Genomic DNA, 16,075 nt, shown 5'->3' on the forward strand with positions numbered 1-16,075 from the left:
GCCTAAGCTTCAACCTTAAGAAACTGGAAAATGCCGAGCAAACTAAAAACCAAAGCAATCAAGAGGACACAAATAATAAAGATTATAGCAGGAATAAATGAAATAGAAAAAGAAAACAGAAAAACAACAGGGAAAATCTAGGAAACTAAAAGTTGGTTCTTTGACAAGATTGGCAAAATCGGCAAATCCTTGCTAAACTGATGAAGAAAAAAAAGAGAAGATCAGGAATAAAAGGGGCTATCACTACAGATTTTACAGAAATTAAAAAGATTATAGGTAGTATTGTAAGCCAGTTTATATCAATGAATTGGACAATTTAGATGAAATGAGAAAATTCTGAAAAGAGACGTAAATTACCAACACTGACTTAAGAAGAAATTTAAAATTTGAATAGACCCATAACTACTCGAAAATTGAATTAGAAACTAAATATTTTTCCATGAAGAAAAGCCCAGGCTAGGCAAATTAACTCAAGATAAAAAATCAATCCTTCATAAATGCCTTCAGAAAATTGAGATGAGAATATATTCTAATTCTTTCTAAGAAGCCAGTATAACCCTGATACAAAAAGCAAAGACACCACAAGAAAAGAAACCCTAGAGCAGTATCCTTCTGAAGAACATCAAACTCCATTCAACAATATAAAAAATGAATTATACGACATGACCAAGTGATATTTATCCTAATAATGAAAAGCTGGTTTAACAACTAGAAAATAGATTAATGTAACACAGGTGGTAGGCAGAATAATGGTTCCCCAAAGCTATCCATGTCTTAATCCCCAGAACTTGTGAATATGTTATACTACATGCCAAAGGGAAATTAGGTTGCAGATGGAATTAATGTTGTTAATCTGCTGATCATAAAATAGGAAATTATGCTAGATTATCCAGGTAGGCCCAATGTAATCATAAGAATCCTTAGAAGTGGGAGAAGGAGGGCAGAGAGGAAGTAGAATGATGGCCACATGAGAAGAACTGGACCTGTCACTGCTGACATTGAAAATAGAGGAAGAGGGTCATGAACCAAGAAACATGGATGGCCTCTGGAAGGTGTAAAAGGCGATGAAATGGATTATTCCATAAAGCCTACAGAAAGGAACACAGCTCTGCTAACATCTTGATTTTAGCCTAGTGAGATCCTTATTAAACTTCTAATGTACCACACTGTAAGATAATAAATTTGTGCTGTTTCAAGCCACTAAGTTTGTTGTTAGTTGTTACATCAGCAGTAGAAAACTAATATAGATTTTGATACTTAGAAGTGGGATGCTGTCATAACAAATACCTTAAAATGTGGAAGTGGCTTTGGAATTGAACAGTGGGCAGAGGCTGAAAGAATTTGAAAAGCTTGATTTTAAAAACTTAGATTGCCTTGACCATACTGTTAATAGAAATATGACATCAAAGATTCTGCTGATGAAGGTTCAGAAAAAAGTGAGGATTGTGGTAAAGAAAACATATATCATCTTAGTGACTACATAAATCATTGTAAATACACTTTTATTAGAAATATAGATGTTTCATGGACACATAGAGGGGACTAATACACACTGGGGGCTATTGGAGGGTGGAGGGTGGGAGGAGGGAGAGGGTCAGGAAAAATAACTAATGGGTACTAGGCTTACTACCTGGGTAATGAAACACGCCCCATGACACAAGTTTACCTATATAACAAACCTATACGTGTACCTGTGAACTTCAAATAAAAGTTTAAAAAATGAAAAAGAAAATAAATATGGATGTTTAAGGTGACACTAGTGAGGACTCAAAATGAAATGAGGAAAATGTTCCTGGAAACTGGGAGAAACAGGGTCCTGTTATACAGTGGAAGAAAACTCAGCAGAATTCTGCGAATTTGGACATTGCGCTGAGGTTTCCAAACCCAGTGTCGAAGGTACAGCCTGTCTTCTTGCTGGTTATAACAAAATATGAGAGGAAAAAGATAAACTGAGGGGGAAATTGTTACAATAGAACCAGGACTTGGTGATTTGGGAAATTCCCAGCCTATCCAGATTGCAAAAGATAATACAATTAAGAGATTTACGTATAGGAAAGTGTGTTCTAGAACAAAAGCTGAGGCTGTGGCTGGACAAATTTTTGCTCACACTGCAAAAAGATCAACAGATCAGTGTGTTCCACCACACTGAAGGCTCTTTGAGGAAATTAGAGTGTGACTTATAGATACCCTCAGCCATTTCTGCAAAAGCCAAAAATAGAGATAAGATAAATTAGAAAAGATCTGTGAAGGAGCCTCTTGCTTAGTGGAGTAAATCCCCATGACAAACATAGGAGATGCACAAGGTTTTTGAGAATTTTATACAAGGATAAACGCTGCCAGCTTGTACTGAAAAGGACAGAGTATGAAATTAAAAAAAGGGCTGTCAGAGCCCCAAAATTCTACATGCAAGAAACAGGCTAATGAAAGTAACCACCTGCAAACGTGCTGCACTTCATGAAAAAGAAAAGATGACTCAGAGCGTGGATGCATGAACCCAGAACTGCTTGTCCACTGGGTGAAGCCACTGGCTACAGAGGGTTATTTGCAGGTCTTTAAAGCAAATCACGTGTGCCTTTATTGATTTTGAAAATGCTTGAGACCAGTGACTCCTTTTTTAACTAAACTTTTTCCCTTTTTGAACAGGAATGTATATGACAGTTATTCCATACCATCATAATATTTTGGGAGCCAGCGTTTCACAGGTCCATAGATTGAAGAGGAATTGTGTCCTAGGATGGATTATACCCAGAACCTCATCTATACTTGATGTAGATTGTTAAGGTGATGAGATTTGGGACTTTTGAGCTGATAAGATTTAGATGTTCTTTAACTCTGAGTTAATAGTGCAATGGGATGAGACATTTGAAGACTTTGGGATGGGGTGAATGTATTTTACATATAAGATAAACATTTACCTTTCAGGGGGTCAGATGGCATGCTGTGGTAGGCAGAATAATGGTTCCCCCCAAAAATCCATATTTTTATTTCCAAAACCTGTGAATTTTTTACATCACATGTCAAAGGGAAATTGAGGTTGCAGATGTAATTAAGATTGCTACTCAGATGACCATAAAATCAAGGGATTTTGCTGGACTATCTAGGAAGGCCCAATGTAATCACAAGCATCCTTAAAAGTGGAAGAGGGAGACAAAAGAGAAAGGAGTCAGAATGATGCCATGTGAGATGGATTGGACCTACCTTTGCTGGCTTTGAAAGATGGAGGGTGAAGGACATGGACCAGGAAATGCAGGAAGCCTCTGGAAGGCATAAAAGGCAAGGAAATAGATTCTCCCATAGAGCCTTGAGAAAGGAATCCAGTTTTGCTAACATCATAATTTTAGTCCATTGAAACCTATGTTGGGCTTCTAATATACAGAACTGTAAAACAACAAATTTGTGCTGTTTCAAGCTACACGTTTGTAATAGTTGTTACAGCAGCAATATAAAATTTATATGCCATAAAAATAGGATAAAAGACTAGTAAACCACATGATTATCCTAATAGATGCAGAAAAATCCAATGCTCATTCATGATTAAAACTTAAAAATCCTAGGAATATAAAGGAAAGGTGGTTTCTCAACCTGATAAGAGGCATTTATGAAATACATACAACTAGTAACAGTGTTAATTGTGAAATAGTGAATTCTTTCCTCCCTAAAGTCAAGAAGAAGGAAAGAACGTCTATTCTCACCATTTCTATTCCACATTGTACTTCAGGTTCTAGCCAGCACTATAAGGCAAAAAGAAAATATAAATAATAAATGAAAGGAATTAAAGGAATCTAGATAGGAAAGAAAGAAATACAATTGTCTTTGTGCATAGATGACATAATTATTCATTAGAAAATCCTTAGGAATTAACAATAAAAGTACTAGAGCTAATAAATTTATCAAGTTTATAGGATATAAGAACATTATACAAAAATAAATTTGGTTTCTATATACTAACAGTGAAAAATCTGAAAATGAAATTAAAAAAACAATTTCATTAAAAATAGCATTGGAGCATGGAGTCTCATGCTTGTAACCCCAGAGCTTTGGGAAGCTGAGGCAAAAGGATTGCTTGAGGCCAGGAGTTCAAGATCCAGACCTGCCTGGGAAACGTAGCAAGACTGTGTCTCTACAAAAAATAAAAAATTAGCTGGGCATGGTGGTGCACACCTGTAGTCCTAGCTATTTGGGAGGTTAAGGTGGGAGGATCACTTGAGCTCAGGAGGTTGACGTTGCAGTAGCTATGACAGCATCATTGCACTCCAGCCTGGGTGACAGAGAAAGACCCTGTCTCAAGAAAAAAAAATGCATCAAAACTTAGAAATATATATATATTTTTAAGTCTATTGCCCAGGTTGGAGGGCAGTGGCATGATCTCGGCTCACTGCAACCTCTGCCTCATGGGTTCAAGCAATTCTCCTACCTCAGCCTCCAGAGCAGCTGGGATTACAGGTATGCACCACCATGCCCAGCTAATTTTTGTATTTTCAGTAGAGACAGGGTTTTGCCATGTTGGCCAGGCTGGTCTCGAACTCCTGACCTCAAGTGATCTGCCTGCCTCGGCCTCCCAAAGTGTTGGGATTACAGGTGTGAGCCACCATGCCTGGCCAATTTAGGAATAAATTTGACAAATGAAGTACATTATTTCTAAAGTTAAAACTACAGGATAGTACAAAATAAATTGAAATCAGATCTCAATAAATGGATAGACATTCTATGTTCATGGCTTGGAAGACTCAGCATTGCCAGATGGCAATTCTCCACAAATGGATCTATGGATCCATGGGATCAATGAAATCCCAGCAGACCTTTCCTAAAAATTGACAAGCTGATCCTTACATTTTTATGGAAATACAAAGGATCTAGAATAGGCAAAATAATTTTGAAAAAGAAGAACAAATTTGCAGGACTTACATTACCTGATTTCAAAATTTACTATAAAGATACAGTAATCAAGACAGTATAGTACAGTATTCATCTATGGGTAGACATAGATTAAGGGAACAGAATGGATAATTCCAAAATAAACTCTTACAAATGTGGTCAATTGATTTTTTTGACAAGGTACCAAAAGAATTCACTGGGGAAAGGATAATCTTTTCAATAAATAGTGCTGAAATAACTGACTATCCATATAGAAAACAAATTAACTTTGAACCTTACCTCACACTGTATGTAAAATGTAATAAACACTAATACCATAAAACTTATGTCATGCAAAAATTAATAAAAACTAATATCATGAGGAGAATCTTCCTGAATTTTCTTTTTTCTTTTTTTTTTTTTATTATACTTTAAGTTTTAGGGTACATGTGTACATTGTGCAGGTTAGTTACATATGTATACATGTGCCATGCTGGTGCGCTGCACCCACTAACTCGTCATCTAGCATTAGGTATATCTCCCGATGCTATCCCTCCCCCCTCCCCCCACCCCACCACAGTCCCCAGAGTGTGATATTCCCCTTCCTGTGTCCATGTGATCTCATTGTTCAATTCCCACCTATGAGTGAGAATATGCGGTGTTTGGTTTTTTGTTCTTGCGATAGTTTACTGAGAATGATGATTTCCAATTTCATCCATGTCCCTACAAAGGACACGAACTCATCATTTTTTATGGCTGCATAGTATTCCATGGTGTATATGTGCCACATTTTCTTAATCCAGTCTATCATTGTTGGACATTTGGGTTGGTTCCAAGTCTTTGCTATTGTGAATAATGCCGCAATAAACACATGTGCATGTGTCTTTATAGCAGCATGATTTATAGTCCTTTGGGTATATACCCAGTAATGGGATGGCTGGGTCAAATGGTATTTCCAGTTCTAGATCCCTGAGGAATCGCCACACTGACTTCCACAATGGTTGAACTAGTTTACAGTCCCACCAACAGTGTAAAAGTGTTCCTGTTTCTCCACATCCTCTCCAGCACCTGTTGTTTCCTGACTTTTTAATGATTGCCATTCTAACTGGTGTGAGATGGTATCTCATTGTGGTTTTGATTTGCATTTCTCTGATGGCCAGTGATGGTGAGTATTTTTTCTTGTGTTTTTTGGCTGCATAAATGTCTTCTTTTGAGAAGTGTCTGTTCATGTCCTTCACCCACTTTTTGATGGGGTTGTTTGTTTTTTTCTTGTAAATTTGTTTGAGTTCATTGTAGATTCTGGATATTAGCCCTTTGTCAGATGAGTAGGTTGGGAAAATTTTCTCCCATTTTGTAGGTTGCCTGTTCACTCTGATGATAGTTTCTTTTGCTGTGCAGAAGCTCTTTACTTTAATTAGATCCCATTTGTCAATTTTGTCTTTTGCTGCCATTGCTTTTGGTGTTTTAGACATGAAGTCCTTGCCCATGCCTATGCCCTGAACGGTAATGCCTAGGTTTTCTTCTAGGGTTTTTATGGTTTTAGGTCTAATGTTTAAGTCTTTAATCCATCTTGAATTGATTTTTGTATAAGGTGTAAGGAAGGGATCCAGTTTCAGCTTTCTACATATGGCTAGCCAGTTTTCCCAGCACCATTTATTAAATAGGGAATCCTTTCCCCATTGCTTGTTTTTCTCAGGTTTGTCAAAGATCAGATAGTTGTAGATATGCGGCATTATTTCTGAGGGCTCTGTTCTGTTCCATTGATCTATATCTCTGTTTTGATACCAGTACCATGCTGTTTTGGTTACTGTAGCCTTGTAGTATAGTTTGAAGTCAGGTAGTGTGATGCCTCCAGCTTTGTTCTTTTGGCTTAGGATTGACTTGGTGATGCGGGCTCTTTTTTGGTTCCATATGAACTTTAAGGTAGTTTTTTCCAATTCTGTGAAGAAAGTCATTGGTAGCTTGATGGGGATGGCATTGAATCTGTAAATTACCTTGGGCAGTATGGCCATTTTCACGATATTGATTCTTCCTACCCATGAGCATGGAATGTTCTTCCATTTGTTTGTATCCTCTTTTATTTCCTTGAGCAGTGGTTTGTAGTTCTCCTTGAAGAGGTCCTTCACATCCTTTGTAAGTTGGATTCCTAGGTATTTTATTCTCTTCGAAGCAATTGTGAATGGGAGTTCACTCATGATTTGGCTCTCTGTTTGTCTGTTATTGGTGTATAGGAATGCTTGTGATTTTTGCAAATTGATTTTGTATCCTGAGACTTTGCTGAAGTTGCTGATCAGCTTAAGGAGATTTTGAGCTGAGACGATGGGGTTTTCTAGATATACAATCATGTCATCTGCAAACAGGGACAATTTGACTTCCTCTTTTCCTAATTGAATACCCTTTATTTCCTTCTCCTGCCTAATTGCCCTGGCCAGAACTTCCAACACTATGTTGAATAGGAGTGGTGAGAGAGGGCATCCCTGTCTTTTGCCAGTTTTCAAAGGGAATGCTTCCAGTTTTTGCCCATTCAGTATGATATTGGCTGTGGGTTTGTCATAGATAGCTCTTATTATTTTGAGATAGGTCCCATCAATACCTAATTTATTGAGAGTTTTTAGCATGAAGGGTTGTTGAATTTTGTCAAAGGCCTTTTCTGCATCTATTGAGATAATCATGTGGTTTTTGTCTTTGGCTCTGTTTATATGCTGGATTACATTTATTGATTTGCGTATATTGAACCAGCCTTGCATCCCAGGGATGAAGCCCACCTGATCATGGTGGATAAGCTTTTTGATGTGCTGCTGGATTCGGTTTGCCAGTATTTTATTGAGGATTTTTGCATCAATGTTCATCAAGGATATTGGTCTAAAATTCTCTTTTTTTGTTGTGTCTCTGCCTGGCTTTGTTATCAGAATGAGGCTGGCCTCATAAAATGAGTTAGGGAGGATTCCCTCTTTTTCTATTGATTGGAATAGTTTCAGAAGGAATGGTACCAGTTCCTCCTTGTACCTCTGGTAGAATTCAGCTGTGAATCCATCTGGTCCTGGACTCTTTTTGGTTGGTAAGCTATCGATTATTGCCACAATTTCAGCTCCTGTTATTGGTCTATTCAGAGATTCAACTTCTTCCTGGTTTAGTCTTGGGAGAGTGTATGTGTCGAGGAATTTATCCATTTCTTCTAGATTTTCTAGTTTATTTGCGTAGAGGTGTTTGTAGTATTCTCTGATGGTAGTTTGTATTTCTGTGGGATCGGTGGTGATATCCCCTTTGTCACTTTTTATTGTGTCTATTTGATTCATCTCTCTTTTTTTCTTTATTAGTCTTGCTAGCGGTCTATCAATTTTGTTGATCCTTTCAAAAAACCAGCTCCTGGATTCATTAATTTTTTGAAGGGTTTTTTGTGTCTCTATTTCCTTCAGTTCTGCTCTGATTTTAGTTATTTCTTGCCTTCTGCTAGCTTTTGAATGTGTTTGCTCTTGCTTCTCTAGTTCTTTTAATTGTGATGTTAGGGTGTCAATTTTGGATCTTTCCTGCTTTCTCTTGTGGGCATTTAGTGCTATAAATTTCCCTCTACACACTGCTTTGAATGCGTCCCAGAGATTCTGGTATGTTGTGTCTTTGTTCTCGTTGGTTTCAAAGAACATCTTTATTTCTGCCTTCATTTCGTTATGTAGCCAGTAGTCATTCAGGAGCAGGTTGTTCAGTTTCCATGTAGTTGAGTGGTTTTGAGTGAGATTCTTAATCCTGAGTTCTAGTTTGATTGCACTGTGGTCTGAGAGATAGTTTGTTATAATTTCTGTTCTTTTACATTTGCTGAGGAGAGCTTTACTTCCAAGTATCTGGTCAATTTTGGAATAGGTGTGGTGTGGTGCTGAAAAAAATGTACATTCTGTAGATTTGGGGTGGAGAGTTCTGTAGATGTCTATTAGGTCCGCTTGGTGCAGAGCTAAGTTCAATTCCTGGGTATCCTTGTTGACTTTCTGTCTCGTTGATCTGTCTAATGTTGACAGTGGGATGTTAAAGTCTCCCATTATTAATTTGTGGGAGTCTAAGTCTCTTTGTAGGTCACTCAGGACTTGCTTTATGAATCTTGGTGCTCCTGTATTGGGTGCATATATATTTAGGATAGTTAGCTCTTCTTGTTGAATTCATCCCTTTACCATTATGTAATGGCCTTCTTTGTCTCTTTTGATCTTTGTTGGTTTAAAGTCTGTTTTATCAGAGACTAGGATTGCAACCCCTGCCTTTTTTTGTTTTCCATTGGCTTGGTAGATCTTCCTCCATCCTTTTATTCTGAGCCTATGTGTGTCTCCGCACGTGAGATGGGTTTCCTGAATACAGCAGACTGATGGGTCTTGATTCTTTATCCAATTTGCCAGTCTGTGTCTTTTAATTGGAGCATTTAGTCCATTTACATTTAAAGTTAATATTGTTATGTGTGAATTTGATCCTGTCATTATGATGTTACTGGTTATTTTGCTTGTTAGTTGATGCAGTTTCTTCCTTTACATTTTGGCATGATTTTGCAGCTGCTGTTACCGGTTGTTCCTTTCCATGTTTAGTGCTTCCTTCAGGAGCTCTTTTAGGGCGGGCCTGGTGGTGACAAAATCTCTCAGCATTTGCTTTTCTGTAAAGTATTTTATTTCTCCTTCACTTATGAAGCTTAGTTTGGCTGGATATGAAGTTCTGGGTTGAAAATTCTTTTCTTTAAGTATGTTGAATATTGGCCCCCACTCTCTTCTGGCTTGTAGGGTTTCTGTCAAGAGATCCGCTGTTAGTCTGATGGGCTTCCCTTTGAGCGTAACCCGACCTTTCTCTCTGGCTGCCCTTAACATTTTTTCCTCCATTTCAACTTTGGTGAATCTGACAATTATGTGTCTTGGAGTTGCTCTTCTCGAGGAGTATCTTTGTCGTGTTCTCTGTATTTCCTGAATCTGAACGTTGGCCTGCCTTGCTAGATTGGGGAAGTTCTCCTGGATAATATCCTGCAGAGTGTTTTCCAACTTGGTTCCATTCTCCCCATCACTTTCAGGTACACCAATCAGACGTAGATTTGGTCTTGTCACATAGTCCCATATTTCTTGGAGGCTTTGCTCATTTCTTTTTATTCTTTTTTCTCTAAACTTCCCTTCTCGCTTCATTTCATTCATTTCATCTTCCATCGCTGATACCCTTTCTTCCAGTTGATCGCATCAGCTCCTGAGGCTTCTGCATTCTTCACGTAGTTCTCGAGCCTTGGTTTTCAGCTCCATCAGCTCCTTTAAGCACTTCTCTCTATTGGTTATTCTAGTTATACATTCTTCTAAATTTTTTTCAAAGTTTTCAACTTCTTTGCCTTTGGTTTGAATGTCCTCCCGTAGCTCAGAGTAATTTGATAGTCTGAAGTCTTCTTCTCTCAGCTCGTCAAAGTCATTCTCCATCCAGCTTTGTTCCGTTGCTGGTGAGGAACTGCGTTCCTTTGGAGGAGGAGAGGCGCTCTGCTTTTTAGAGTTTCCAGTTTTTCTGTTCTGTTTTTTCCCCATCTTTGTGGTTTTATCTACTTTTGGTCTTTGATGATGGTGATGTACAGATGGGTTTTTGGTGTGGATGTCCTTTCTGTTTGTTAGTTTTCCTTCTAAACGACAGGACCCTCAGCTGCAGGTCTGTTGGAATACCCTGCCGCGTGAGGTGTCAGTGTGCCCCTGCTGGGGGGTGCCTCCCAGTTAGGCTGCTCAGGGGTCTGGGGTCAGGGACCCACTTGAGGAGGCAGTCTGCCCGTTCTGAGATCTCCAGCTGCGTGCTGGGAGAACCACTGCTCTCTTCAAAGCTGTCAGACAGGGGCATTTAAGTCTGCAGAGGTTACTGCTGTCTTTTTGTTTGCCTGTGCCCTGCCCCCAGAGGTGGAGCCTACAGAGGCAGGCAGGCCTCCTTGAGCTGTGGTGGGCTCCACCCAGTTGGAGCTTCCCGGCTGCTTTGTTTACCTAATCAAGCCTGGGCAATGGCGGGCGCCCCTCCCCCAGCCTCGCTGCCGCCTTGCAGTTTGATCTCAGACTGCTGTGCTAGTAATCAACGAGATTCCGTGGGTGTAGGACCCTCCGAGCCAGGTGCGGGTTATAATCTCGTGGTGCGCCGTTTTTTAAGCCCGTGGGAAAAGCGCAGTATTCGGGTGGGAGTGACCCGATTTTCCAGGTGCTGCCCGTCACCCCTTTCTTTGACTCAGAAAGGGAACTCCCTGACCCCTTGCACTTCCCAAGTGAGGCAATGCCTTGCCCTGCTTCGGCTCGTGCACGGTGCGCGCACCCACTGACCTGCGCCCACTGTCTGGCACTCCCTAGTGAGATGAACCCGGTACCTCAGATGGAAATGCAGAAATCACCCGTCTTCTGCGTCGCTCACGCTGGGAGCTGTAGACCGGAGGTGTTCCTATTTGGCCAACTTGGCTCCTCCTTTCTGCCCTGAATTTTCTACAGTCAAAAATTCATAGGTAAGTCTGATATGGTTTGGCTCTGTGTTCCCACCCAAATCTCATCTTGAATTGTACTCCCATAATTCCCACGTGTTGTGGGAGTGACTTGGTGGGAGATAATTGAATCATGGGGGTGGTTCCCTTGTACTGTTCTTGTGGTAGTGAATAAGTCTTACGAGATCTGAGGGTTTTATCAGGGGTTTCTGCTTTTGCATGTTCCTCATCCTCTCTTTGCCTGCTGCCATCCACATAAGACGTGACTTTCTCCTCCTTGCCTTCCACCGTGATTGTGAGGCTTCCCCAGCCATGTGAAACTGTAAGTCCAACTACTGCTTTCTTTTGTAAATTGCCCACTCTTGGGTATGTCTTTACCAGCAGCATGAAAATGGACTAATACAGTAAATTGGTGCTAGTACAGTAGGGCATTGCTGAAAAGATACCCGAAAATGTGGAAGCAGCTTTGGAACTGGGTAACAGGCAGAGGTTGGAACAGTTTGGAGAGCTCAGAAGAAGACAGGAAAATGTGGGAAAGTTTGGAACTTCCTAGAGATTTGTTGAATGGCTTTGCCCAAAATGATGATAGCGATATGGACAATAAAGTCCAGGCTGAGGTGGTCTTAGATGGAAATGAGGGACTTGTTGGGAACTGGAACAAAGGTGATGCTTGTTTTGTTTTAGCAAAAATTTGGTGGCATTTTTGCCCCTGCCCTAGAGATTTGTGGAAGCTTGAACATGAGGGAGATTACTTAGGGCATCTAGGAGAAGAAATTTCTAAGCAGCAAAGCATTCAATAAATGACTTGGGTGGTGTTAAAAGCATTCAGTTTTAAAAGGGAGCACAAAAGTTTGAAAAACAGAGCACAAAATTTGAAAAATTTGCAGCCTGACAATGTGATAGAAAAGAAAATCCCGTTTTCTGAGGAGAAATTCAAGCCAGCTGCAAAAATTTGCATAAGTAATGAGGAGCCAAATGTTAATTCCCCAAGACAATGGGGAAAATGTCTTTAAGGCATGTCAAAGGTCTTCATGGCAGCCCCTCCCATCACAGGCCCAGAGACCTAGGAGGAAAAAGTGGTTTGCTGGGCGAGGCCCAGAGTCCCTCAGCTGTGTGTGGCCTAGGGACTTGATGCCCTGCATCCAGCTGCTCCAGCCATGGCTGAAAGGGGCCAATGTAGACCTCAGGCCCTGGCTTCAGATGGTGCAAGCCCCAAGCCTTGGCAGCTTCCACATTGTGTTGAGCCTGCTGATGCGCGGAAGTCAAGAATTGAAGTTTGGGAACCTCCACCTAGATTTCAGAAGATGTATGGAAGTGCCTGGATGCCCAGGCAGAAGTTTGCTGTAGGGGCAGGGCTCTCATGGAGAACCTCTGCTAAGGCAGTGCAGAAGGGATATGTGGGGTCAGAGCCCCCACACAGAGTCCCTCCTGGGGCATCACCTAGTGGAGCTGTGAGAACAAGGCCACTGTCCTCCAGATCCCAGAATGTTATATCCACTGACAGCTTGCACCATGTGTCTGGAAAAGCTGCAGACACTCAACGCCAGCCCATGAAAGCAGCCAGGAGGGAGACTGTACCCTGCAAAGCCACAGGGGCAGAGCTGCCCAAGACCACAGGAACCCACCTCTTGCATCAGCGTGACCCAGACATGAGACATGGAGTCAAAGGAGATCATTTTGGAGCTTTAAGATTTGACTGCCCCACTGGATTTGGGACTTGCATGGGCCCTGTAACCCTCCTTTTTTGGCCAATTTCTCCCATTTGGAACGGTTATATTTACCAAATGTCCATACCTCCATTGTATCTAGGAAATAACTAGCTTGCTTTGGTTTTATGGGCTCATAGGTGGAAGGGACTTGCCTTGTCTCAGATGAGACTTTGGACTGTAGACTTTTGAATTAATGCTGAAATGAGTTGAGACTTTGGGGGACTGTTGGGAAGGCATGATTAGTTTTGGAATGTGAGGACATGACATTTGGCAGGGGCCAGGGGCAAAATGATATGGTTTGGCTCTGTGTTCCCATCTAAACCTCATCTTCAACTGTACTCCCATAATTCCCACGTGCTGTGGGAGGGACCTGGTGGGAGATAATTGAATCATGGGGGCGGTTTCCCCCATACTGTTCTCATGGTAGTGAATAAGTTTCATGAGGTCTGAGGGCTTTATTAGGGGTTTCCACTTTTGTGTCTTCCTCATTCTCTCTTTGCCTGCTGCCATCCATGTATGACGTGACTTGCTCCTCCTTGCCCTCATGATTGTGAGGCCTCCACAGCCATGTGGAACTATAAGTCCAATTAAACCTCTTTCTTTTGTAAATTGCCCAGTCTCGGGTATGTCTTTATCAGCAGCATGAAAACAGACTAATACAAGGTCACAAAAGCATGAATTATTAAAGGAAAACTATGAAAAATGTAAGACAACTGCAAAACTTTTTCAAAAAATACCATTCAAAAAGGAAAAGACAAGCATCAGACTGGGAGAAAATATTTGCAACAGATATCTCACAAAGGGCTTGTATCCAGAATATATAAAAAACTCTTACAATGGAATGACAAGAAGACAATTCAATAAAATACAGGTAAAATATTTGAACATGGAATTTAAAATAAATATAGAAATGACCATAACCACATTAAAAGATGTTGAACGTCATCTAATTATCAGGAAAATGCAAATGAAAACCACTACAATATGGTATTTTAGATCCACTAGCATGTGTAAAACTAAACATTGGCCTTACTAAGTGCCATCAAAGATGTAGAGCAGCTGGAAGTCTCACACATTTCTCATACAATTCATACATTGGAATATTAAGTGAAACAACCACTTTCAAAAAATTCAGCAGCTTTTATAAGGTTAAACATATATGCAATCCAGAAATTCTAATTATAGGTATTTACACAAGGTAAATAATTTCCACACAGAGATAGTACATGGAGGTATATAGTAGCTTTAGTGAAAATAGCTCCAAACTGGGGGAAAAAACCCCTGAATGTTCATTAACAGATGAATGGATAAAAAACTGTGGTATGTCCATACAAGAGAATACTACTCAGCAGGGTAAAGGAATCAACTGCTGATATAAGCAATAGTATGGATGATTCTTAAAAATGTCATTCTGATTTTAAAAAGCTAACAAAAAAGAGAACATACTGTATGATTTCATTTACAACAAAATTCTACAACATTATTTTAATCTCTAGTAACAGAAAATAAAATATTCATTGTCTGGGGCCAGCATTGGGGAGTACTGAACACAAAGAGGGAGGCACGAGGGAACTTTTTGAGGTGATGAAAATATTCTATATATTGATTGTGTTGGTGCCTATATATTTGTCAAAAGACATCAAACTGCACGCTTAGAATTGGTCTATTTTTCCACATGTATATTTTACCTCAAAAAGGCTGATTTTTAAAAAATTGCTGGAATAAAAGAAGCCAAATGTTTGATTTGTTCAGCACTCTTTTTACCATTCTACTTTCATTTCTCTTATTTCCCTCTACTTGAAAGCAGTAGTCAAGAGATTTTGAATTTTAGTTAAAATTACATCAAGTCAGAGGCCTATGGAAAACATATGAAAAAGTAGAGAACTATTTTCCAGCCAAATTCATTGTGGTTATGTACTAGCCCAGGAATCAAGAAATGTGATGAGTCAGTTAAGATGTCTTAGGTTGCAAGCAACAGAAAGCCCAACAGAAACTGCCTTAGGCAACAAGGGGAAATTATTAGCTCCTTTATCAGGAAAAGTCCAGAGGTATATAGACATCAAACAATATTTGACCAAGTGTTTTGGGCAGCAAAGATCTAGTTTCTCTCTTAATATATCTTATCTTGTCTTTATTCATGGTGTTGGTGTCACTTCTAGCAGACTCTCCTATTATATTTCCAAGGTGGCTGTCAGCAGCCCCTGGGGATACAGCCTTTGTCATTCACACACAAAAGGGAAGAGTTCTTTTCCTCTAATATTTTAAACAAAAGTTTTGTGTCTTTATCCCTTATTGTTCTGAATTGGGTCATGTGTTCATCTCTGAATCAATTACTGAAGTTACAGGGATGGAATATACTGATTAATTTGAACCTATCCATGGCGACCCCAAATATATAGGTAGGTCCCATTTGGTAGAGGGTAGGGAGTAATAGATGCTAGGAAGGCAACAAATGAATATCCACAGTCACTGAGTTCTAGTCCTGATAATGTTGCTTACCAACTAGGTGGCTTTTGATGGATTGCTCTCTAAGCCTGTTCTCTCACCTGTAAAATAGGGACAATGAGTTCTGAGTAGAAAACATTGTCAGTGCTCTACCTAGATCTCCTCAGATACCAATTACTGCTTTATGCACCCACCTTCCCAGCTTCTGTTTGTTTTGCTTTTTTAAAAAAAAAAAACAAAACAACTTTTTTTTTAGAGCAGTTTTAGTCTCACAGCAAAATTGAGGGGAAGGTACAGAGATTTCCCACACATACTCTACCTCAGTGGTCCCCAACTCCTCAGGCTGTGGACTGGTACAGGTCTGTGGCCTGTTGGGAACCAGGCCACACAGCAGGAGGTGAGCAGCAGGGTGAGCGAGCATTACCACCTGATCTGCCTCCTCTCAGTTCAGCGGCAGCATTAGACTCTCATAGGAGTGCAAACCTTATTGTGAACTGCACATGTGAGGGATCTAGGTTGTATGCTCCTTATGAGAATCTAACGCCTGATGATCTGAGACGGAAGAGTTTCATCCTGAAACCATCCTCAACCTGCTCCCCATCCATGGAAAAATTGTCTTCCATGAAACCAG

The 16,075-nt window shown here is 40.2% G+C and overlaps 2 annotated features.

The window, feature by feature from the left end:
* Positions 10,437-10,995: an enhancer, noted in NCBI's record as "NANOG-H3K27ac-H3K4me1 hESC enhancer chrX:131295346-131295904 (GRCh37/hg19 assembly coordinates)". NCBI's record gives its function as "activates a minimal SCP1, AML or CMV promoter by ChIP-STARR-seq in naive H9 embryonic stem cells {active_cell/tissue: H9 hESC(naive)}" and the evidence as "EXISTENCE:reporter gene assay evidence [ECO:0000049][PMID:30033119]".
* Positions 10,996-11,552: an enhancer, noted in NCBI's record as "NANOG-H3K27ac-H3K4me1 hESC enhancer chrX:131295905-131296461 (GRCh37/hg19 assembly coordinates)". NCBI's record gives its function as "activates a minimal SCP1, AML or CMV promoter by ChIP-STARR-seq in naive H9 embryonic stem cells {active_cell/tissue: H9 hESC(naive)}" and the evidence as "EXISTENCE:reporter gene assay evidence [ECO:0000049][PMID:30033119]".

This window comes from Homo sapiens, chromosome X, assembly GCF_000001405.40.
Source record: "Homo sapiens chromosome X, GRCh38.p14 Primary Assembly".
Classification (NCBI taxonomy): domain Eukaryota; kingdom Metazoa; phylum Chordata; class Mammalia; order Primates; family Hominidae; genus Homo; species Homo sapiens.